We start from the raw sequence: 25296 nt of genomic DNA, 5'->3' as shown, positions 1-25296 counted from the left end.
AGGTCAGTGACAGCCTGATTGCTGCTTCCCAACCCTCCTGCCCCCAGCCTGTGGCTCCCTGAAGGTGAAGGCATGAGTCCTTCTGGACACATTTCCCCCTAGTCCTGTCTGCCTCTGCCTCTGCCTCTGCCTCTGCTCTCCGCTCCTCCTCTTGCCTGCTGCCTAAGTCAAGTCACACCGTCTCTCTTCTGGACCCTAATGTACCTTAGTATTTCCCCCGCTTCTCCCTGCAGTCCTGAGTGAGTGCACTGTGTGAGCTTTAGCAGCGCTGTGTTCTTCTCTGACTTAGGTCCCTAAGCACTCAGCCCCAGCGCCGCTGCACCTTACCTTGCACTGGGAGCTCGGCCCAGGGTCTCCAGCTCCACTACCCCCGCACCCCACGCCCTCTCCCTGATGGGCCGAGCCCCTCGCACTCACCTTTCTGGGCTGTAGTGGTGTCTGCACTTGCTGCTCCTCACCCTGGAGGCTTGCTGCAGACCCAGAGCCCCCGCTGACTCACTCTTGTCGCTCACATCTCAGGCTAGATACCGCGGCCCCAAGTACCTTTCCCTGGTGCCCGGCCGGAGATGCCATCTCCCCACCTGCCCTTCACCATCATATCACGGAGGACTTATTTCCTACAGCCCTTATGGACAGATGGACTTACCTGTACTCGGTTGTTTACTTTTGTTCTTCATCTGCTGCGACCCAAGCTCCATGGAAGCAGGGCCGTTGTGACGCTTGTTCACAGCGGGATCTCCGATGTCTAGCAGAGTGTCTTGCATGCAGCCAGTGATTCATATTTGCTGAATCAATAAACTAGTGAAGAATGAATGACACAGCATGGACATGGTGTCCTAAGTTTCTGGTGTTACAATGTGTTAGCATTACAGTCTTGAGAAAGTCATTTCACACCTCTGGGTCTCAGTTTCCTTCTCTGTGAAATGTGAGCATGTGTATTCTCACTTGGCAAACAGTGGCTATTCAATGAGTGGGAGCACTTAGGGTTAACAAACACTGTATATTGTTCGAATGCTTTTGTGCTGTCATCGAGGCCAAGGACACAGAGGTGAGCACTCGGCGCAATCCAGACCTGATGGATGGGTAACACACGTGCATCCTTTTAAGTCAGTAGTTAAGTGACATGTAGCTCACACTTTTTAAAAGGATTTTTCGCAATAGTGCTGATGACTGCGCACGATCAGACATGTTGTCCAGATTTCAGAAGTGACTACATTCTTTTTTCTTTCTATTCATGGTATATAACTTATTCCTTGATTTATTAAATTAAAAAATGACTATCACATTTAAAAACATAATTTATTAAATTAAATTAAATTAATTAAATTTAAAAAGTGCATATGTTTCTGCTGCTTTCCGGGTGGAATGCTAGACTTGGAAATACAGTGGTAAAAAAAATAACAGGCATTGGCCTTGTTTTCAAGAAGTTCCCAGTACTGATGGGAGACAGCCGTGAACAAAGAATCACATATGAGAGGCAATCAAGGAGAGTAGGGGGTGCATGAGAGAATCAAAGAGGGGTCCTGAGTTAGGTGAGGGCTGCGGAGATGAAGGTGACTCTGAAGACGCGTCCTTTCTGCTGGGAGCAGAAGATGAGTAGGGCAGTCAGTCAAGGAAGGGTGTGTGGGAGGACCGGAGAGGAGATGAAGGAGGAAGGGAGAGCAGGTGAGACTGGAGATGCCTGCAGGGACTCGGAGTTGCGATCAGGATTTTAGATTTTATCCTAGGAGACACTGGGGGTTTAGAATGGGGAGTGACATGACATCATAGAAAACAGCATGAAAATGCTCTGCCCAGATTATGTCCATGGTCCCCCACCCTGAATCCACCAGATTACTTCTGATGCCAAAGGAGATTACTGCAGATTTTCCTGGATGACCTAGTTCTGTAACTGCTCAGTTAGCTCCTGTGACTGCTGTCATTGCATTTGCTGCAGTTCCAAGGGGTACGGGGGTACTTGGTCTGGGGGCATCAGGTTGTTGAGGCACTGAGATGCCGTCCTAGTGGGCTCACTCTTCCTTTAGTCTTTTGGACTAAGATGCCCTGTTTTTGTATTCAAATGTACTTTCTTTTGGAGGTCAGAGGTAAGCATTTATGTAATTCATGGTTGTAAAAAATGTCTGTGCAGGTGCCAGTCTTCTGCAGAGTTGGACTTTATACACCATAGGATGGCATAGAATTTCTTTATTCAGAAATTTAAAACATAGTTTGCACTATGAATATCTGTTCATATTCTTTCTTTCTTTCTTTTTTTTTTTTTTGAGATGGAATCTGGCTCTGTCACCCAGGCTGGAGTGCAGTGGTGCGATCTTGGCTCATTGCAAGCTCTGCCTCCTGGGTTCATGCCATTCTCCTGCCTCAGCCTCCCGAGTAGCTGGGACCACAGGCGCCTGCCACCATGCCCGGCTAATTTTTTGTATTTTTTATTAGAGACGTGGTTTCACCATGTTAGCCAGGATGGTCTCGATCTCCTGACCTCGTGATCCACCTGCCTCTACCTCCCAAATTGCTGGGATTATAGGCGTGAGCCACTGCGCCCAGCCAAGAAGAACAAATATTCTAACAATGGTCATAAGTTGTTTAGCAGTGAGGATACATTCTGACAAATACTTCATTAGGCAATTTCATCACTGCAGAAACATCACAGAGTGCACTTACACACACCTAGATAGTATAGCCTATACATACCTAGGCTGCCTGGTGTAGCCTATTGCTCCTTGGCTATAAACCTATAAAGCATGTACTGTGCTGAATGCTGTAGGCAATTGCCACCCAATGATATTTATGTATTTAAACATATTTAAACATAGAAAAGGCTTAGTAAAAACAGACGATTGAATACATATATATATATGTATGTATATATATATAATTATTGTTATTTTTTAATGGTACACTTGCCTAGGACACTTACCATGAATGGAGCTTGCAGGGCTGGAATCTGCATGGGTGGTCAATAAATGAGTGCTGAGTGAATGTGAAAGCCTAGGATACTACTATGCACTACTGTAGGCTTAGGCTATACCACATTTATTAAAAATATTTTTCAGCCAGGCATGGTGGCTCACGCCTGTAATCCCAGCACTTTGGGAGGCTGAGGCAGGTGGATCACGAGGTCAGGAGATCGAGACCATCCTGGCTAACATGGTGAAACCCCATCTCTACTAAAAATACAAAAAAAAAATTAGCCAGGGGCATGGTGGCAGGCGCCTGTAGTTCCAGCTACTCCGGAGGCTGAGGCAGGAGAATGGGTGTTAACCCGGGAGGTGGAGCTTGCAGTGAGCCGAGATCGCACCACTGCACTCCAGCCTGGGCAACAGAGAAAGACTCTGTCTCAAAAAAAAAAAAAAAATATATATATATATATATATATATATATATATATATATATATATATTTTTTTTCTTTCTTCAATAACAAATTAACCTTAGCTTACTGTAACTTTTTACTTTGTAAACATTTAAATATTTTTCAACCATTCCGATTCTTTTGTAATAACACTTAGCAGGAAACAAAAACATTGCACAGTTGTACAAAATAACTTTGTTTCCTTTTATGTTTATTCTATAAGCATTTTTTTACTAAAATTTAATTTTTTAAAAGCTTTTCTTCATTACAACTAAGCCACAAACACACACATTAACCTAGGTCTGCACAGGGTCAGGGTCATCAATATTGCTCTCTTTCACCTCCACGTCTTGTCCCACTGGAAAGTCTTCAGGGGCAGTAACATGCATGGAGTTGCCATCTCTTATATGATAATTCCTTCTTCTGGAATACCTCCTGAAGGACCAGCCTGAGGTTGTTTTACAGTTAACTTCTTTTTTTAGAAGTAGAAGTGCACTCTAAAATTAAAAGATAATAAAAAGTATCATATAGTAACACATAAACCAGTAACACAGTAGTTTATTATCAAGTATTATGTTCTGTACATAATTGCATGTGCTAGACTTTTATACGACTGGCTGTGCAATAGGTTTGTTTACACCAGCACCACCACAAACATGTGAGTAATGCCTCACACTATGATATGAGGATGGCTATGACATCACTAGACAGTAGGAATTTTTCAGCTTTATTATAACGTTATAGGATTCCAATCTTATATGTGCTCCATTGTTGACAGACATGTTGTCATGCAGCATGTGACTGCATTCCACACAAGGGCTTCTCCTTAGAGCAACAGTGTTCCACTATTTGCATCAGTATCCAATGGAGAACATGGGAACCTGTGGATATTGTGTATATCCTCCCCAAGCTAAAAGTAGCTTCCAGAAGTCTAAGAGTTTCCAGATTGTCTTCTTCAGGTCATTCATTCACAGTAAATGGGTGTACCCCTAGAATGAGGGGGTGTTTCCTTACTTTCTACCGAGTCTGGCAGACCTGCCGCCTGAGCTCCCTTGACCAGCCACCACCACCTCAGGAACATTACCCATGATGGTGTTTTCTGAAGTAAGTTTGCATTTGTCACTATGATGTCAGCCTTACATGACTCATTTACAAGGAAATTGAAGTAACTTCTCTCTCCTGATGATTCTGTTTTCTTGCCGCTGCTCTGCACCGTCTGTTGATTAAAGGGAGCCTGTCCTGAAAATAAGACTCTAAACAATTTAAAAGCAAAGGGACAAATTAAAAAGAAGTCCTTGTAAAGCCTATTGAATTAAGCAAATACCTGCTCCACTTTTTAAGTTAAGACAGACAGAATGACTAATTAAATGCTGAGTAGACCAAGACATATTGTAACTTCAAATGGCTCCAAAGTCTGGCTGACAACATTTTCCCATTGTTTCTGTAATCCTTAGTATTAGAAGAATTCTTAATCAATTTTTACTAGCAAATTAAATTTCAACAGAACACGAATTGGTATTTCCTTCATGGAAAAATGGGGTTACATGTCTTGCCATAGATAAATCGACAGGGACATTGGATAGCTCCAAATGTAACACTTGCATTTCAGTACATGTGCTTTGTTCAATTCAGATAAATGAGATAAAACTTAGGCTGCTCTGTGCTAGATACTATACAAATTGTTGAGGATATGTTGCTGAATGAGAAACCAGTGTAACTCTCAAGAAAATGTTTAATAGTGGACATGAACAGGATGGAATTAACTATAGCATATTGTGAAATGCCCTGACATTGGTGTGCACAAGATAGGTGAAGAAGAAATTATTTTCCTCTTCTGAGCTCAAAACCTTCGGTCTGAACTTGTAAGGCTGTGTAGAAGTCACCAGGACTTGAAGATCATTACAGGTAAAGGGAAAGACGTGAGTAGTTGTGCGACACACAGGTGCATGCATGGATGTTGATGGCCCCCTGGGGAAGTAACATCCAGTTCATGAGGCTTTTGCAATAAAAACTCAGGCCTATTTGAGATGTGACCTTTTTCTTACCTAGATCATGGGTTACCTGGGCTCCTGTAGAGAAAGCAGCAGGGTAGAAAGACGATGATGGAAAGGGCGAGCCAGTCCTGCCCCTTTCTTTACCAGGGCAACTCCCATCAGAGTAAAGGGTTTTCTGTTCTGCATATAAAGATTCTGGAAAAGATGCATGTTATAAAATATCATTTGAAGAAAGGATTCCACCGTTAATAAAACCACTGATTTACAGAGACTCAGTACTTTCTAGATCTGGACAAAATGAATAAAAAGGACTTTCTCTGTGACCTGGCTATCACTTCTTCCAATACAGCAGAGGCGAGGGAACGACGAAATATGATTCTGTCCTGACCCGCAGAGAAAGAATTCTGTAACTAATGATTATGAATGGCAGCTTCGATTCCCTGCAACTTCATAATCTCAGAAAGTGCAACCCGGCCAAATTTAGTCCTGAGACTCTTTGCTAGTCTTGTATTTCAGGCAGAAAATTGGAGTGCAGAAAACAAAGACAGAGGTAGTAAATATTGTATTTTGGAGTTTTGGTAGAGGCAGATTTAGTTTTCTGGCATCTTTTGCTGGTTTAGTCACCCTGTTTATCACTAAATATTTAAATTGATGCTTTATGTCTCTGAGTAGGTGCATGAATCTGTGTTCTGAGAACAAGTTAGGGTCTTTTACTTAATTATAACAGATGCAAGAGGTGATGTGCTCTAACTTGTAGTACAGCATAAAGACAGTATGATGGAATCAGGGAAGCAGAGTGGAGGGATTCACAGAAAAGGTGCTGGAGTCAGATAGGCCTGGGTGTGGATCTGACTCTGCCCTGTGTTCACATAGCACTCTCTAACTGGTGAGCGATTTCAGAGGTCAGTGTGCAATGTGGGTTACAATGCTTGCCTCATTGGGATGCCTTAAGCATTAAGTGGGACAACAGAAGAACTGAGCTTGTCTCTGAACCTTGGCTTTCTGCAAACCCATGTCAAGGGTGACTCCACAGTTGCTGTGGCCCAGAAGAGTGGGCAGCAGTGTGAAATAAAGCATAAGGCATTTTTTATTAATTTACAGCAAGATGATATAAAGAATATCAGCACGCTCTTTAGAACCACTTTATGCTTGATTGTATTTTTTTTCAGCAAATATTCAGTCCTCCTTCATGTAGGAGGAGCAGGTTTTCCTGCCTCGGTGATGTTGGCCTGGCCATGCAACCTTCACTGGAATGGGAATGGGTGTGACAGTGAGGCACAGGGTGGATGCTCTAAATGTGCTTGTGTGATTTGGTTTGGCCTTCTGTGCTCATTTCCCCTGCATGAGAAGAGTATGTCCTGGGTATCCACTTCTCACGTGTCCTGGATCGCGGGATGTCGTATACACGGAATAGACCCGAATCCTGCCTTTACCATGGATCATGGCCTCCAGCTGAACCACAGAGCCATGAGTGAGAAATAAACTACTGAGATTTTGGGGGCTGTTTGTTATTGCAGCAAAATTGCTTAATACACTTCAGATATCTTTTATGACGTCAAATAGAAAGAAACGTTTAGGGTAGAAAAGCCATAAGAAAAGCATCGTAAGCCACGAGTCCTTGAAATCTGACTCATCAAAATTCTAGTCATCTCCCAGTATGGAGCAAGTCCATGAGTCTTCTGGCCTGAAGACTTTTCTGAGCTCATTTAGACATTTCCACTGATCCAGGAAAATACTCACTAAAAGTTGCATGTTAGGGAACTGGAGGGACTCTGGGGAAAGCCACCTTCCTCCGTTTTCATCAACAAATTCATGTGGGACACAGGAGAATCTGGATATCGAAATATCCGTTCTCAAAATAAAAGAGTGATATCTATACCTTGGCTTGTGGTTTTATAAACGTGACCTCATATTCAGAGTCTTTGTCTTTAAAATCCAAAAGATCAGTTAGATTTTTATTCCTGTAACACTTGTCAGTTCTCTCTGGGTCCATGTATTTACACATTTTTTTTCTGTTTCTATATATGTTTATTCTTTTCCTGTATGAAAATTCAGTATAGTTTTAATATGACCTGCTATCTATTTATTGAATACAGAATTATACTGCTTTTAAATTTGTTTTAGCGTATGAATAGAACATTCAATCTGTTCCATCTAGAAATAAAGATGGTATTAAATGTGTATTAAGTCACTATCCTCAGTTTATTTTGTTTCCTTCTCTTTGAGTGCAGGAACAAATTTTTAAAAACTGTTTTTATCCTGATCTTTCAAATCACATTCCCATTTCTCTTTCTATTTAGAGATCACTACATCACTCATTCTGTAAGAATGTATCTAAAATATAAGTCTGGCTGTAGCATTCAAAGACACATGATTTCGTTGCATGTCCCAGCATGTGCTTGAAGTAAATGCAGAGAGCATCTTCATGCTGTTCATATATTTCTCAAGCATTCACTGTGCGTGGAATTATAACAAGGCACTGGACAGTGGTAAACTAAGTCAAAGGAATGCTTTCCCACCATCTGTTCTGGATGAAAAATCTTAGATTAGTTATGTACTAGGCTACAAATTGGAGCACCATTGTAAAATTCCTTTAAAATGCATAGGCTGAACAAACTCTGTTATAAAATCAGGTTGCATTTTTTTAATCTGGCACTAATAATTCTGTTTCCGTTTTCTAATTATTAGAAATTTGAGCTCTTTTTTGGCAAACATCTTAGTTATGTGAATTTTTAATCTAGACAACAGCAATTCAATAGAAAAAAAGAAATAGGATTATAGGAATCTAATTTTGGAGGCAAGTCCGTAAAAGAATTGTTCTTAAAATGCTGGATGAAATGCAACTCTCCCAAAGATAAAAGGAAATGTAACAAAATAGAGAGGCTCACATTCCCAACATGCAGCTTGTTGAAAGCGATCAGTGAGCAATCTGTGCCCAAATGCCACTAATGGTGCTTGGACTTCGAGTGCATACTAATGAGAATGTGCTGGCACACAGCATCTTGATTCATGTGACCTTTGAGAATGGAAAGTTGGCATAACTTTTGAACGAGAGAAAATCATTTCACATATCTTCCATTTTAATTGTCTTTGTGAACACATTTTAACAAGTGCATCAGTGTGCAGAAATAGATTCTCTTTTATAACAATGTACCCCTTAGACATTTTGGTGTGCTGGTCCATCGGCTAGTTCCAAGGTAATGTGCTCTCCTGAAATGTCACAGTGATACTCTTCAGAATAAGACCTAATAGGTATAAATCAATTTATGATGTTCAAAGTGATCTCAAATCCATTCACTCAGTTGATCTCTGCAGCTAGCCTGCCTTACCTCATTCAAAAATGTAGACTGCACATTTCCTATGTGTAGGTTGAGGTAATTGAAAGGACAAATGATATAAATACAAATATTATATAAAATAAAATATTATATTATAAAAAGGAGCAGTCCTAGCCCTCACAGAACTTTCAGCTTCATAAGTCAAAATTTACAACCTAGTATCAGATTGACAGAAACCTTAGAAGTCAGAAAATCATGACAGAGAAATTAAATAAAATTACTCAAGATCAAATAAGGAGTTAATGTTAAAACTTAGGCTAAAACACTGAATTCTGATTTAGTGTTCCCACTAACATAGCGTGATTTCAAAATCGTGTCTTTTTAATACAAAGTGCTTATTTTGAAGAGTATATTTTTGGTAAATGTAATGAAGAGAAAATGAGCATGTTTTCAATAACATTCAGTTATTGGGGTGGGAGGAGAAAGTTTTTAGACAACACATTTGTCAATGAAACTTTAGGAACCAAAGGCAAAAGCAAGGACAAACAAGTGAAGCTTTGCCTTCTGCTCTGATCAGAAGGAGGGAGGTTGATCCGCACCAGGGATCTTTAATGGGGGGATAACATCACTGTGGCTCTTGCCAAGGGATTGGTGTGTAGTTCCAGGTCACAGTATCTCCTCTGTCTGTCCTGCTCCTTCATGTAATAGTCAGAGCTCAAATTCTGGATTTGAAGGCTGAGGCAACACCTAGAGTCTGGCATGTTAGGGAAATGTCTTCAGCTCTTTAAGCTCTTCTTTTATTTATTGCTTTCTGATTTCTTCACCAGAAGCTAGAAGGGAACAAAGTGAAGCAAGCCAGTGATTCAATGTTGTCATGATTGAAGGTACAATAAGGAATCTAGAAACTTGTAAGGCTTGTGGGCATTTTGGAATCTCTTGCAAACACAACAGATTAGAAGAACAAAGTCAAATATCCAGTTATCCAAGAATGCAGGTGACTGTGGCCCTATAGTATTACAATTAATTTTAGTTGCCTTGAATAGTCAGCATAGTTTAATCAATTGACATGAATTTTTTAAACAAAGAAGATGAAGAATAGCCCAACTTGGGCAAGGGTATGATTCAAACCTTAATTGTCTTGTAGAAATACCGTGAAAGATTCCATCTACTTTCTACTACCTAAGTAGCATATTACTGAATCATTCATGAGAGGACAAAAAAATAGGTTTATGGTTGGTAGTAGAAAAATGAATTGGGTTCAATATCCAGTTGGAGTGGGTTTTTGATGTTTTTTATCTTTATGCTTTCTCTGTGGCATCAGACTTGATAGTGGCGAAGAAAGAAATGTCTAAAAATACAAAAGCTTAGTTGTTTTTGTATCCTTCTATAGGTTTTCAAGGTCTAATCCAACCTGAATCTTTTGTGCAATCCATCGTTAATGTCTACACTAGGGGTGTCCAAATTTTGAATTCCCTGGGCCACACTAGAGGAAGAATTGTCTTGGGCCACACATAAAATACACGAACACTAATGATACCTGATGAGCTTTAAAAAAAATCACACAAAAAATACCATAATGTTTTAAGAAAATTTACAAATTTGTGTTGAGCCACATTCAAAGCCTTCCTGGGCTGCGGGTTGGAAAATCTTGGTCTATACCTTGTTCAGAGCAGCTGAGGCAGCTTGGTCAAATGGTTCCCCAGCAAATGCATTGCCATAGTTTCACTGTGATGTCTTTTCTCTCAGACTGTAAGCTGCTGTGAGGAAGCGACTGTGTTCCTCTTGTCTACCACGGCATCAGCAGCATGGCCTGATGCTTGGAACAAGGACCTGAGTACCAACTATTACTGAATACTGTTCCCTGGCATTTTCTCCATGGTGATTCTACAAACAATTTTCATTTTGCTTAATTCTTATTCTCTTAATTTCCTGCAGGTATTCCCTCCACCTATTATAACTTTGGTATGCTGGTATGCTGATGTGTTTCAGGCCATGAGACTGGTGAGGGACCAACATGCCTCCTGTTGTTCTGAGTTTCTTTGTATCTCCTTTCCTCTTAGAAGTCTTCTCTTCTTTTTGAAGCTCACCTATTGTATGGGCAAATACAAATTTTAAAATAGGAGGCCTAATTCTCCCACATTGAAAATAAAGGAAGAGACTTAGCTCCTCCTTTGTGTTGGACCATTGACTTTAGAAAACTTGTGAATTCTCTCTGTGTCTCTTGGAAATGCCTGTAAACCTTTTAAAAAACTAAATAAGCCTTTTGTCAGTTTTAGGGCCTGGGAATGTTTTTTCTCAGGGGACTGGGAACATCCCTTTGTAATGTGATCAGGAAGGAAGATAGCCCTCATCTCCCAGTGTCTTTGGGAGGGTGGAATCTTAACTTAGGTGGGTGCTTGCTCCAAAACTATCTCCTCTCATAAAGATAGGAGATATTTTTCCCCTTGGCATGAAGCAGTTAGCTCACACATGATCATCTCAAGTAGATTCATCCCAATTGAATATAGGATGAGCTATTTGTGATAAGTGGTGCTGTCTAGTTTTCTTACTCAAAGGCTAGTTACTGCTTATCTCGAGAGCATGCATGGAATAGATTGTGTCTGCTTAGTTACATAAAAGGGTGAAATTTCCTTCTGTCTTTGCAATCTCTTAGAAGATTGCCTGTGATGCACATTGCATTACAGTTAGATGCTGATTAAATAATGAAGTTATTTTCTTTCTTTTTCACCTTTGTGGAGAGGGTTTCTGGTTTGAGAGGACATTTTCTTTTTAATTATGTTTCCCCAACACTCCTGTGTCATCAAGTCCATCAGCAATATCCTAGCTACCATATTCTTAATGCCTGATGCATACTATATATAAATATCTGACTTAATTCTTACAACTTATTGAAGCAAACTTACCACCATTGTACAGTTGAGGAAACTGGGACATAAAAACCTAAACGTTGTCTAAGGCAACTGGCTTTAATTTGCAAAGCCAGTATTTCAAATGCACGTCTGCTGACTATAAACAGTGTCCTTTTCATTACTTAACCTGATTGCCTCTTAGTAATTCTCTTTCTTAAATCTTTAGTGTCTGCCTCACAAGGGTCAAAGTTGGACCTCTGAAACTGAAAGAGATTGGAGGTTCGAGTCTTTAGAGTCGAAAAGGCCAAAGACCGGGCTGTAAGGAGAGGATCACTGTGGCTTCTGAGGCCTTTGTTGAGACCTTCTTGAATGTGATAATGACTAGCAGTTGGGGGATGGGAGCGGTGGTCATGATTAGTTATCAGGCGTCATGATGAGCGATTTGTAGAATATTAATTCTCTCATTAGACTGATGAGGACACTAATATTAACTCTTATTTATTTATTTATTATTTTTATTTTTAGGAGATTGAGTCTCTCTCTGTTGCCCAGGCTGGAGTGTGGTGGCTATTCGCATGCATAATCCCACTACTGATTAGCACAGGAGTTTGACTTGCTCTATTTTCATCCTTAAATGGTTCATCCCTCCTTAGGCAGCCTGCTGGTCCTCTGCTGCTGGAGGTCACTGTGTTAATGCCAAACTTAGTGCAGACACCTCAGCCACATAGCTCACTACAGCCCAGAACTCCTGGACCCAAGAAATTCTCCTGCCTCAGACTCCCAAGTAGCTGGGATTACAGGGACACACCACTATGTCCAGCAGGTTTTAAAAAAAGACTTTAGGTTTTTTTTTTTTTCCTATTTTAAATATTAAGGAATTTAGAACATTTTTATAGAACTTGCTATAGGCTGAATAGCTAATATGTAGCAGCTAATCTGTATGTTTTTAAGGCTATTACAAAAGGCAGTAACAATATTTTTTACCTGATCATAAGAATCATATCAGCAATAGTTGAAAACACAGATTATCAGGTCCTTTCATTTGAGAGCCTTGTTTGGAATTTTCCATGAATGCCCTTTGTGAATCTTATGAGAAGTTAACTATGAGCATGAAGGAATCCAGAAAATAGTGTCTTAAATTATGCTGCATTTGTTGATTACCTCAAACCGAAGGCATTTGGAAAACAGCAAATGCACGGAGGGCTTTTCCTGAATTTCCCTCATCTGATTAAAGGCAGATTCTTTAGAAGGAAGCCAATTGTCATGAAAACACTCCCTGGGCATCGTTATCTATTGAGGAAGAGTTGTAGGCATCAGGAATCATAGTCTAACTTAGAAGAGACTGGAAATTAACAGCTCAACTAGTCAGGGTAGTACCTATTCTTTAAGGATGCTTTTTTTAATTCTTATTTTTATTTCTAGACCATTTACTCTCCCTAGGTTGCCTCCATTTCCCTCTCCTCTATGAAGAAGTCTATATAAGCTTCCAAATCGCATTGGGTTATTGGCTATCACTTATCTTCCATGTGATGCTCCCATGAATGTTAATACATTTGTATACCTTTTTCTCCTGCTGATCTATTAGGAATTTATTTCAGGGACCCTTCAGAGGGCAGAAGGGAAGCTTCCTCTCTCTGCCCCTACAGACATCTGCAGCAGAGACTTTTGAATGACAGATGGCTGATGACGGTGGGGTTGTGTAATGTGGGGGTGCACACTGGATTGTTGAACTGGATGGTGTTGACTTTCAACTAGAATTGTTTTGTAGAGTGATGGCGGTGAAATCATGATCTGGAAATACCAGTGCTCTGGGTCCCTCCCTTAGGTCATGAGCTTGGGACACTGCGGAGGAAATTATATTGGAAAGGGTTTTGAGGAAGGTGGTGCTATCACGGGAAAATTGTGTTAGTTCAGGTTAGAAGACGGTGGGAGGAGAGAATGGCACAGGTTTGGAAAGGAAAGTTTTCAGATTTTAATTTTCATTTCCATGTCAGCAATAGAATAGGGGTGGGTGGATGGAGGGGCTGTGTTTAGTGGGCTGAGGTGAATAAGTGTATGTGGGAGGTGGGATGGGGAGCCGGAAATTGGAGAGTTGGGGCCCAGGGTAAGAATTATCCAAGGCAAAGATGTAGGACACCAGAGACAGAAAACAGCTGCAAGTGATGGGGTGTGAGGGCTGAGGCGAAGGTGGGAAGGGCAGGCGAAATCTTGGCTCTGCCAACACAATGGGACCCCAATTCCAAGGATCAAACAAAAGCAGCTTCCTCATTTATAACTAACTGGAAGCCAAATTAATTAGTAATCAAGACACTTTTAGATCCCAGGGAGAAAGAGCATGCTGTTAAAATAAGAGAAAACAAAACAGTTTAGAATATCCATTGAATGTGTATTCCAAAAAATTAATAAGAAATAACTAAAATATGCAATTCCTGAATTTAGAAAGAATAAATTGGTACTGAATCATGGAACATTAGAACTGAAACAAACCCTGACCATAAGCATCAATTCTAGGTCTCTCAGTTTGTAGGGAAGAAGCTGAGGCCCAGTGTTGTACAGAGGCATGTTGGACTCCAGAATCACACATTTGCCCTGACAGCAGGCTCAGTCTCTGAGGTCCCGCAGGCTGTGTTCCCTGTTTGGTTTCCTTCTGTGGCTTGGATGCAGAAGAAGATAAAACAGGATGTGGGCTGCTTTTGTCATGTATAATATTAACTTTTTAAGTTAATCAAGGGCACTAACAACTCTATATATTTCTCTGTGCGTTTACACCCTAAAATTTCAAATAGCCATGTTTAACACGGCTTTAAGGCAACTTTTCTGCCTTTGTTCCAGATTTCCTTCCCAGTGTAAAAGCACTCCTCATTCTTCTGATGGACAATAAGTGAAAACATTTCACCTGCAAGTGAAAAGCCCACTTGTAAACAAACCCGCACCCCAACCCAATCCCTGCTAGGCTTTCTACCCCTTTGCATTTCACTATTTCTTATTCTTTCTGCAAGAGGATGGTAACATTCTTACATCACCTCTGGCTTCAGTGAAAACAGTTATTTGTGTCCACAGGTTAATGCTTCTGCCTAGAACATTTCCTTGCTCTTTTCTATTTGAAAATACTTGAATTAGGATTTTGAAGTCATGGAACAAAATCTGCAGCAGAATATAAAATGGAATAGGATGTTCAAATGTGCAGGGAGCTGAAATACAGTATTTGCAATCAGGGCATGGGAAAATCTCTGGGTTGATTAAAATGTAGACTAAGCAGCTGACATAAGATTCTTTATTTACTCTGATGTGAGGCACTGGAATAAAAAAGATTAGGATTTTCTACATGCATACAGAGTTTGGGTCTATGATTTGCCTAAGGAGAGTAGGAAATAAGAATTGGTTTTCTTGATGATAATTGCTCAAGATGGTATGAATATTGCTAATAGTTTCACTAGCACAAAGAGATGATAGGATTACAACCATTCTAATGGAAATGCAAATTTTGGAATTAGCTTGGCTTTTCATCTTATCTGCGTCATTTTTTAGCCTAGCAGACTTGGTCTAGCCACTTAACCCTTTTGTATCATCCTTAAAATTCTATGCAGTTCTAGAGCTTTGTAATCACTTTAGTATGCGATTGACTAATATCCTGGGAAGGGCCAGCTGGAAAAGAAATCAACGTTATTTACTGAGCTGATAATTTTCGTATGTAGACTCTCTTTCTCTTCTTTCTGGTGTTTGTCCTTTGACCATTTATTGTCTACTTTGCAAGATGATATTGAGAGAATGTGAAAGGGTTTGAAATTTCAGCAAGTTTAGTTTGCAACTTGCTTATGTTTTTGGAAAAGAAATTTTCTTAACCTTGTATCCTTGTCTGCTATTATGACAGAGATTTTGGAAGTGAAAATACCTGCATAATAAATTTAGTTCTCTATGTGGACATAAAGTGGCTTTTACTAGATTGTGAACACCTTGAGGATAGGGACCCTCTTGTATTCTGTGACTATCAGAAAATTTGTCATGGAATGGGTGCTTACTCAACTTTTCCACAAATTACAGACCTTTGGAAAAGCTTCAAGGGACCAAATTGCCCTTCTATTGGTTTCCAGATTCCTGAGAACACTCAGGTGTTTTATACTTATAAAATTTTAGAGTAGAATTCAACTACACAATATCTTTTCCTATTGCCTTTGTTATATTTGATAAAGTGGTTTTTATTAGCTAGGGTAGTCCGACTGTTATAGTAAAATATCCCCAAATCTGAGTGGATTAACATAGAAGTTTCTTTCTTTTTCACGTAACGAGACAATGTGGGTATTCAGCAAGCAGCCTTTCATGTGGTGATTCAGGGACTCAAGCATCTTCTACCTGTGTCTCCTCAAGCTCTGGGGTCCTCTGTTGATTCTGATGCTTTGGATGCAGATGAGAAAAAGAGAGAGAGAGAGAGAGAGGAGGATCACTGTGGGAGGATTTTATGGGTCAGTCCTAAAAGAAAAAACCAGTACTTCTGCCTACAGTCTCTGACTGGAACTATTACATGGCTACACCTGCCTGTAAGGGACTGGGACCCACAGACGAGTCATGTGCTCAGTAGGAGAAGGAAAATGATGTTGTGAACACATCGAAGTGTCAGCCATGGTCTACTGTGTTAGCCAGAACATACACTCCAGTCTTCTGACCACAGTAGGATACACCCCCACCTCCCAGTGTACACAGCTCCAGATCCCACTCATAGCATTGAGGGCCAAAGCCAGGATCTTTTGATGATGTGTGGGCCTTGCTTCCACACCCGTGTGTATTGGTACATATGGGATGGTAAAACTTTTATTTGGAAAAGGAAAAATAGAATACATAGAGAAGCCCTAGTCTCCAACCATTGTGAAATCCTCTAAACAAGGTGTTATGCAGCCCCTGTCCTACACAGGAGCAAGAGGACTTGTTAAGGCCCTGACTCTGCTCTCTAGGGTGAGCTCCCTCTCTCTTATTTTATATCCTTTGCCTCTTATTCCCCATGGCCACATCTAAGTGAGGATGGTATGTTCTCTCTAAGATTGTAGAGATTCTAGGTTGATGCAAAAGTAACTGCAGTCTTTGCCACTAAAAGTAATTACTTCTGCACCAACCCCATAGTATTGTTTCCTTCTGATCAGGTGAGTTTTGGGGCCTAAAACTTGTTTTAAGCATCAAAAAGCAAAAAGAGTAAGAACTGGATTTAAAGTTTCTTGGTCCGTAACATTTTCTCAGAATTCAGTAGGTATCTCATGGATTTGCTTCTAGTTAATTCCCCATGCTTTAATAACCATACCCAGCATTTGTTTCTACACATAATCATCAAGCCCGATTTGTTCTGTGGCTTTTTTGGCCCCATGACTCCTCAGTGTAATGACAGCTTAATTTGAAATAATAGACTTTGGTGACACTTCTAATTCAACCTTTGCTGAGATCCCTTGTTTCACTGAAAAGTTTTGCTGGGCCCTTGTGGCTCAAGCCCAGTGTGCACCTTAGCTCTTCCTCTTTGCAGGTGGCTTTTCCTACCATGCCCGGCTCTTTCCTCTGATCTCTGCCGGAAAGCCAGCCAATCCTCATTGGTGCTTTTGTCTTTCTTGGATTCCTACTAATGTCAGTCAACAGTAATCGACACATCAGAACTCTTTCATCCACTTCCTCTAGAGTAGAGGCTCAGCAAGAATGTGGGCTTTCTTCCCAATTATTGGAGGGCTGGATTTACACAACTGTGCAGTGTGATTGTTCAGCTAGTGGTCATCTGGGCAGCGCTTCAGAACACCAGGCTCCTGCATCTCATAGCTCTGCCACCCCTAGGGCCTCAGAGTTCCCTGCTGGGTCCTCTGCTCATGGAAGGATGGAGGATGGAAGATGACTTGGGAAGGTTCATATGAGCCAGATATGGAAGTGGCCTGTGTTTGATTGGCAAAGACTAATGGCTACATCTAACTACAAATTCAAGAATTATTTTCTAGCCCAGGTGAAAAGGAAACAGGTTTTGGTGAACACATGGCAACCTTGGCCACAGGTAGCAAAGACATGGACAGGTGGCAATATGTGCTCATGTGAACAGTTCAAAAGCATGTTTAAAGGTAAGAAAGAGGAACAAGAAGCAGGTATTCTTAGACGCGGCTAAAGAAATACAAAGAGTAAATATGGGGGGGACATCCTCATTTAAGGACTTTCTTAAAGCCAAATAAAAATTAAAGAGAAAGTGGTGTGTGTCTCCCTCACCTGTCCCTGCTGATGGCCAGATGTGGTAGAGTCCTTCACTAGACTTGAAGACAGAGGTGGAAAGAAAGTCTTCTAAAGAGACACAGAAGCAAGGTGGGCTGATTTTTCTCAAAAGTTGAGTCTGCAAACCATACATTAATGCCACTTAGGTTTGTTCCTTTCCTGCAAGGCTGTGCATGAGTCATCTGGGTTCATTATTATTTAAAAATAACACAGGGAAGGTAGGAACAATGGAAGAAAACCCATCTCTGGCATTCAAGTAATCCATTGGCATCTATCTTGGGCAGGATGTGGGGTCGACTTCAGAGCTCCCAGCAGCTGCGGTTTCACATCCAGATAGGCACTCGGCTACATGTGAGGACAACTTCTGACCAAACTGGATAAAAGTGCTTGGTAGATTTTCACAATTTAGCTCTCTAATGCAGTTTACTAAAGCCTTTCATAAAAGAAATTATTTCTGAATTTTCCCAGGGATACGATGCAAAATGATCAGCCTCTCTAAGTTCAATTTCCTAAGTCAACCACTTGTCAATTTAGTTGTGGCAGAAAAGTAAGAGAAAAGTGAAGAATCTCTTATTCTGCACTTGGCAACTTAATATTATATATGTCGAATCATTCCTAGTTTTAGAAATCTCATCAACCTAGAATTTTTTCTTCCTTTCTTCCTTCTTGCCTGCCTTCCTGCCCTCTTTTCTTCTGTCTTTGTTTTCTTACTTTCTTTCAACATTCAGGCACTATTCTGGGTGCAGAACATAAACTGGTAAAGAAAAGTATATATATCCGTGGAGAGGCAATAATCTAATGTAGTGTGTGCAGTAGGAATATATTATGAGCCACACATGTAATTTTAAATTTCCTTATAGCCACATTAAAAAGCTATAAAGAAAAAGCTGAAATTAATTTAAAGCATATATATCCCTATATATTCAAAAACTGGTATCATGAAAATATTTCTCTTTCTTGGTTCTAAATCTTCAAAATATAGTGTACATTTCACACTTCCAGTACATCTCAATTTTGACTAGTGGCTAGTCCAAATATCAGGTTTTCAGTAGTTACATGTGGGTAGCAGCTACCACGTTGAAGGGTGCAGGTCTAGTGAAAGATACTGAGGCACTTATAGTCAACTGTAATAAGCACCATTCTATGTGTCTCCATGAGACACAGAGGAGTCACCTGACCCAGATTTAGGAAATCAGAGAAGGTTGTTGACTGACAGTTGAGGATTTGATTTCAAATGATAAATACTTACTCTCCCTATTTCTTTAATGCCATCTAAGAATATTGGCTTCTTGTTCCTCTTTCTTAGCTTACAAACATGCTTTTGAACTGTTCATGTGAGCACATGTTGCCACTTGTCCATGTGTTTAGTTGGTCAAATCAGTGGCACAAAAGAAATATGTGGGGAAGAAAGAATATTATACAATAACATAGTGGTGAGAGAAAACACTGCCTGTTAAATAATTAAGCAACTCTGTGTGGTTCCAATGTAGAGAGCAAGCAGCAGGACTGGGGTGGAAGTGGTTCCTAAAGCCACATCAGGGACTGATGGGTTGACACCATTCCTTCCCCTGGAAGTTAATTTCTAGATCATTGTTCTAGACTGTTAGAGCAAGGAAAGCCTGGAGGCAGCAAGACTATAAGCTCTCTCAATGATAAAAGCCAGAGTCGAGGAAGGGCAGCCTATTTAGGATAGTAGGTGTTGGGAAGAAATATTTAAGAGGAAAGAAAAAGCAAATGGTATACCACAAAACCAGCTTCTATCTAGTGAGATAATATTCAAAATTGTTTCTGCATCCACAGTTCATTTCAAAATGAAAAATTGATTTACCCTGTGACCTAGAAGTTACACTTTGGGGCGTCTATTCTGGAGATACAAATATTTATTTTTGTGCAGGAACTTGTACACAAATGTTTGTATCAGCTTTGTTCATAATAGCCAAAACTTGGAAATGACTCACTTCTCCTTCAGTAGGTGAATGGTTAAATGAACTGTGGTACCTGAGTATCATGGAATACTACTCAGCAATGAAAAACTCTCCATGCATGCAACGACTTAGATGAATGGCAAGACATTTATGCTGAGTAGAAAAAGCCAATCTCAAAAGGATAAATACTGTATAGTCAGATTGATGTAGCATTCATGAAATAACATGAATTCATGAAATAACAAATAGAGACAGAGAACATAGTGGTTTCCAGGAGTTAGGGATGGTAGGAGAAGTGGGGCTATAAACTGGTAAAAAGAGAGGGTCTTGTGTTGACAAGAGGGAGTATCTTAATTGTGATAGTCATTACACGAGGATATTCACGTGATAAAATTGCACAGACACAGACACAAATGAGTGCATGTATAGACGGTGAGATCTGAATGAGCTCTGTGGATTGTATCCATGTCAGTTTCTTGACCTTGGTATTGCGCTATAGTTATGCTAGGTATTTGCGTGGAGGGAAGCTGAGCGAAGAGTGGGCAGGACTTCCTGGCACATTTCTTTACAACCATCTGCGAGTCTATAGAAAAAAACTAAATAAAAAGTTAAAAAATGGCCTCTGCTGTTGTCACTGTTTGCCTTAAGGAAGATCTAGGAAAATGCCGCAGCACTTTTTGCCTGAGTGCTATAAATCACCGCAGAGCATTTCCCTACTTTAACTACTTTCTTGTCAGGTTATAACCATCAAATATATGTATTAAGGACACATAGAAAGTGCTGTACACAGATATAAAATATAGAGATCATCTTGCATATTCAGATCCATGACTGTCTAATGATCAAATCCTGTTCTCATCCCCTTTAATCTGAATTATTGAAATGTAGAATTAAATAATAACTTTTCCTTCTTTGTTCATCCTCCCTTCTTTTTAAGAATACTAGATTCCTCTCAGAGTTCCCCAGGATGCAGTTGACTCCTTTGTATATAGAGACATCTGACACTCAGTGAGCCCTACTAATACTTGCATCTCCATGGACGTCCTGTTCCTGAATTCTCTTTTCATGGTTGGTCTAAGAGGTGTGATGTATAAATGTATACTCAATCTACAGGCCCTGGGTACTGAAAGTTTTAAAATGCAAACTATGTGAGAGAGTACTTAGATCACCTTCAAATGCGGACTTTCTTCCCTACTCCCACTAAAATCACCATTGTACATGATGACAAGCCACAGTTTCTTTTACTTAGTCTCTCTGCAGGCTTGGACACCGTGCACTGTTCCTTCCTTCTTGGGACATTTTCTTGGCTTTGCTTCCAGGAACCACAACTCCCTTGATTTCTTGCTTCCTCTCTGCCTGGTAGTTCTCACTGTTCAGTTTTTGATGACCCTTCCTCCCCTTCCCACTCCGCAAAGATCAGAATTCTCAAAGGCAGCCACACTTGGCCTCCTCTCTAGCTGTGGTCCCAGAGCTTTAGATGTCATCTGTCTACTCATGAAACGCAAACTTATATCTCCAGCTCCTTTCATGCTGCCATTCTCCCTCTCCTCCACATGTCAGGCTGCCAACTTAGCATCTCACAGCTGACACGTCTGGATCACAACTTGGAATTTATTCTCCATCACCCTCTCCTCCACAGCTTGCACCTTCTCCACTTTGTTCTGCCTCAGAAAGCAGTACCACGCTTAATGCAGTTTTCATACCTCGAAGCTTGGAGATTTTATTTCCCCCGCACAACAGATTCAAGCACCAGTAAATCCTGTTGGAGTTACCTTCAAAACATGTTCTAGATCAGACTTCTTTCTGCCATCTGCCCAGTAATTACCTTAGATCAAGCTGTGACCCTCTCTCATTAGAATTCTGTAGATCCTGTGGTATCCATCTCCTGCTCAAAACCTCCAGTGGCTTTTCCTGACACTTAGAAAAACAAAATCTGAATTTTTTACCCGGGTTTGCAAGGCCCTGCATGAGCTTGCCCTGGCATGTCCCCATGACTGCCTCTTTTGCCACTGACACTTTCTCTTGGCCTGCATGGCTCCATGGGTCCTGCAGGTGGTCCTGGAGATCCCAGGCATGCTCTTTTTTCAGGGGCTTTGAAATGTTTGTTAACAAGCAGGTTAGGCTTTGCTCCTATTTGAATGTTCCACCATTAGTTTGCAGTGGTATTTCTTCATTATAATGACCTAGAATATTAAACACCCAAGTGGATACAAAGGGATTCATCCAAAGGGATTTTTGCTGCTCCTCAACACTCAAGGTTTCTCCCAGCTCCTCCCAGATCTTGCTCCGGCCCTCTATCTGGATCAGAAAGTCACATGCTGCAAGGCTTTCCCTAACTCTCTACACGCTTCCTTGTCCATCTTAGTTCCTTGCTCTACCTTTTCATCATCTTCGTTAGAGCTGTCACTCTCTGTCATTACATAATTTTTTCGGAGAATTTTTTTCTGTTTTCTGTTTCTCTTCCTGCCACCAATTTCCTTTATTTTTCCTTCTTTCCTTTTTTTTTTTTTAACTTTGAGCTGACAGTTACCCATATTTTGTTTATTTAAAATTTTAGAATTTTTAATTTTGTGGGTACATAGTAGTTGTATATATTTATTGGGTGCATGAGATGTTTTGATACAGGCATTCAAAGTGAAATACTCATATCATGGAGAATGCGGTATCCATCCCCTTAAGCATTTATGCCTTGCCAGCCACAATTTTCAAAGATATGATCCAAGAGGTATCTTGTTGGTCTTATTTACTGCAGGATCCCTCGTGCTTAAAAATGGCAAATACATGAATTGCAAGCCATGTACCTGGATTTTGTACCTGACTCTGGAATTTCTGAAGTAGGTGTTAAGTTTTTGGCCTTTGTGGTAGGAAAGTAACTTTATCCTATATACATTTGGTTACTTGGCTGGTGTCAATATGTTCATTGACATCTTGAAAGTTTTATAAACAAGTAGGCCAGTCTTTACTCTTATTTGAATTTTTTCCATCATTAGTTCACAGTGGCATTTGTTCACTAGAATAAACTAGACTATTAAATACTCAAAGTGCCTACAAAGAGGTTCAAGATAGAGTTCCTCCTCCAAGGAACTCAAGGTCGAATATGTGGATTGCAAGGTAGTTAAAAATTCTGACAACCTGCTTTTGGGCATTTGGAAGAGAGTAAACATGTCCTTCTGCAACTAAAGACAGGTACTTATGAGATTATGTATGGAGGAGAGGGCAGAGCTTGGGTGATAGCAAACCTGATGTAGAAAATACCAGGAGTTTTTGAGTTGCAGACGCCAACAGTTTGGCAAGGTCAGGCTGCATTCTAATTGCCACTGGTGTCATTTAATGATGTGATGGCAGATTCAGTATGCATTTTCTTAAATGATAGAATGTAACTTTGCAGAAAGCAAAATGTAGAAAAGTAATTGGAAGTCTCTCTTTGTTTTCTTAAGAAGTAATCATATCACCTCATTGTTTATGGCCCACTATGTTGCATTCTTATGAGCTGACTATGGAAATGAGTCTCTAGGATGAACATAGAAACTTCACGAATTACAGCCTAGCTACAAAATTAGTGTTATGTAATCCTCCAACCACCTCCCTCTGCCGCCGAGTTCTGAAATAGCGGTGCACTAGAGTGGGTGGTAAAACTGTCTAATAGTTAGCTGCTAGATGAGACTGATTTGCATTCATTTCTATTTTACCAAATTATTTTGGGAAAAGAGTCTTAATTGACAGCATCACCACAATAGACCTTACTTTTGGCTGAGTTTAACAGCCATTCTGGTGCCACCCAGATCTGTGGCTTTGTGGAACCAGGCTGGGTTCCCCTAAGGTGAGGATGCTCACATCCCCCAGTGACCTGTCTTCAGGTGAGCCTTCGGCTGGCTGGACCCGAATGACACCCTCCCCAGGACACTTTCTTGCCATGTGGCTTTATTCTTGAATCATTTACTTGCGTCCAATTTTCCTAGTAAATATGTGTAGTCATATTAAATAGGTAAGTGTGTCTTGTTCCTGGCTTGTTTACTATTGCCAAATACTTCCAAACTGGAGTGGAAACTTGGCTACTTGTGAGTAAGAAGAAAATAACTAGGAAAGATGAGTGTACCTATAATAAGAACAGAGTCTCTGTGTGTAAGCAAAGTATTGAAACTCACACTCATCCACATGTATGCACATATGCTTAGGCGCAGATAAATGACTCCATTTTACCCTAAAAGTCTGTCTGCTGTAGTTTGAAGAGTAATTCCCAGTTCTCATGAGGGTTTCTTTTAATAGTAAAAAAAAAGTATGGTTTCAAACAAACAAAATGAGCTCCCACTTTTTACAGTGCAGTAAAAAACAACAATAACAAAAAGCTTTAGCCAAATAAAGTGACAAAAATACAATTTTGTAGATATAAAAGTACAAAATTTATTAACATGGTTATCTGTAAAAATAAAGTGATATTCTTAGTAATCTTGGCAGACATAAATTTACACACAAAGTATCTTAACCTGTTTAACCCATTTATTTCCAAACTAAAGCTTGTTTTCCACAGGATTAGAAAATATTTTACTCTGAGTTTTTCTTGGTGTAGGTTTTCCTTCTATAATTTATTTCTGCTGTACAGTGTTTGAAGCCTGGCTATTAAAATACTACTAAAATTTTTTTTTTCTCTAGAACTGATTTCCTACTTCTTAGATAAGTCTTAGGCCAAATTTGCTCCAGACCTGCCTGGGACCACTGCATATTTTGTCTCCTACATAAATGAAAACGTAACAACCACTGCTCTTAAAGCCCTTATTTCTCAGTGGCTTTTCTTCTATGGAAGTTTCCGTCAGTTGCATTGCTTTTCCTGTGTCCTGAAGCTGGGTCTGCAAGCATTCTAACAGATGCTTAAATTTCTTCCTTGAACCCATTCTTTATTTTCTAGGAGGTGTTCTTGACACTGAATTTATAAAGAGTTTTTCAGGCCCAGAATATAATACTGAAAACTCATGTGTGGAGAACTTACAAGGATTTTAAAAATGATTTTTTTAAAGTGGATTTATTCAACAAGCTTTGTTGAGTGCATCATTCTTACAATTTCTTGAATTTCTGGAATTGAATTATTAGATCCGAACAACTCTCTCATCAAAATTGCATTTGCTTTTAAGTGACTGCTTCAGAGAAAAGTACAAGCTTTACTTTTATTCTAAGCTAATTTGTCCACTTTGTCATCATCTGTAATCTCTAGAGTGTAGCCGGCCATTGTGTGAAGAGTGCCAGAAGAAATGTAAAAAGAGAATTGAAAGGAAATGAAAAGTTATTTGATCGTTGACTACTTTCTTATTCTAACGCCTGAATGGAGAAGATGGAAGCATTAGAAGGACTGCATTTATTCTGGGAAAAACTTAGAAGAGTAATTGTCCTTCACACAAAATCTTTTGTTACTTTTATCTTTCTTATTACTAGAAGGTATTTTTATGTGTGATTATCAATAGTGGTAAAGTATAGGACAATGATATGAAATCCATTTCGTAACTGTTCTTTGGTAAAATAGCTTTCCTTTTTTTAAGCTTGAACTGGAAGAATGAGCAGGTATCATAAAGACTGTGAGCTTTTCGGTGACATAAAATTGCTGTTCTATTATAATTTCCTTTTACAATTTCTTGAAAATCTAACAGAAAGTTGAAACCTGCATTATAACTATCTACAAATGGAATTGAAA

At 40.0% G+C, this 25296-nt stretch overlaps 1 long non-coding RNA gene and 1 pseudogene across 1 annotated transcript in view; both read right to left on the bottom strand.

Moving 5' to 3' along the window:
- The window catches only part of LOC105372191 (uncharacterized), a 28272-nt gene extending 27554 nt beyond the window's left edge, over window positions 1–718 (bottom strand). The window contains exon 1 of the long non-coding RNA XR_935622.3: window positions 647–718. This is a non-coding gene — a long non-coding RNA (uncharacterized LOC105372191). The remainder of the gene's footprint in view (window positions 1–646) is intronic.
- On the bottom strand, window positions 11993–12290 carry RN7SL401P (RNA, 7SL, cytoplasmic 401, pseudogene; annotated as a pseudogene).

This window comes from Homo sapiens, chromosome 18, assembly GCF_000001405.40.
Source record: "Homo sapiens chromosome 18, GRCh38.p14 Primary Assembly".
Taxonomy (NCBI): Eukaryota; Metazoa; Chordata; class Mammalia; order Primates; family Hominidae; genus Homo; species Homo sapiens.
The sequence above is the reverse complement of the archived record's forward strand: the minus strand, read 5'-3'. Positions and strand labels throughout refer to the sequence as shown.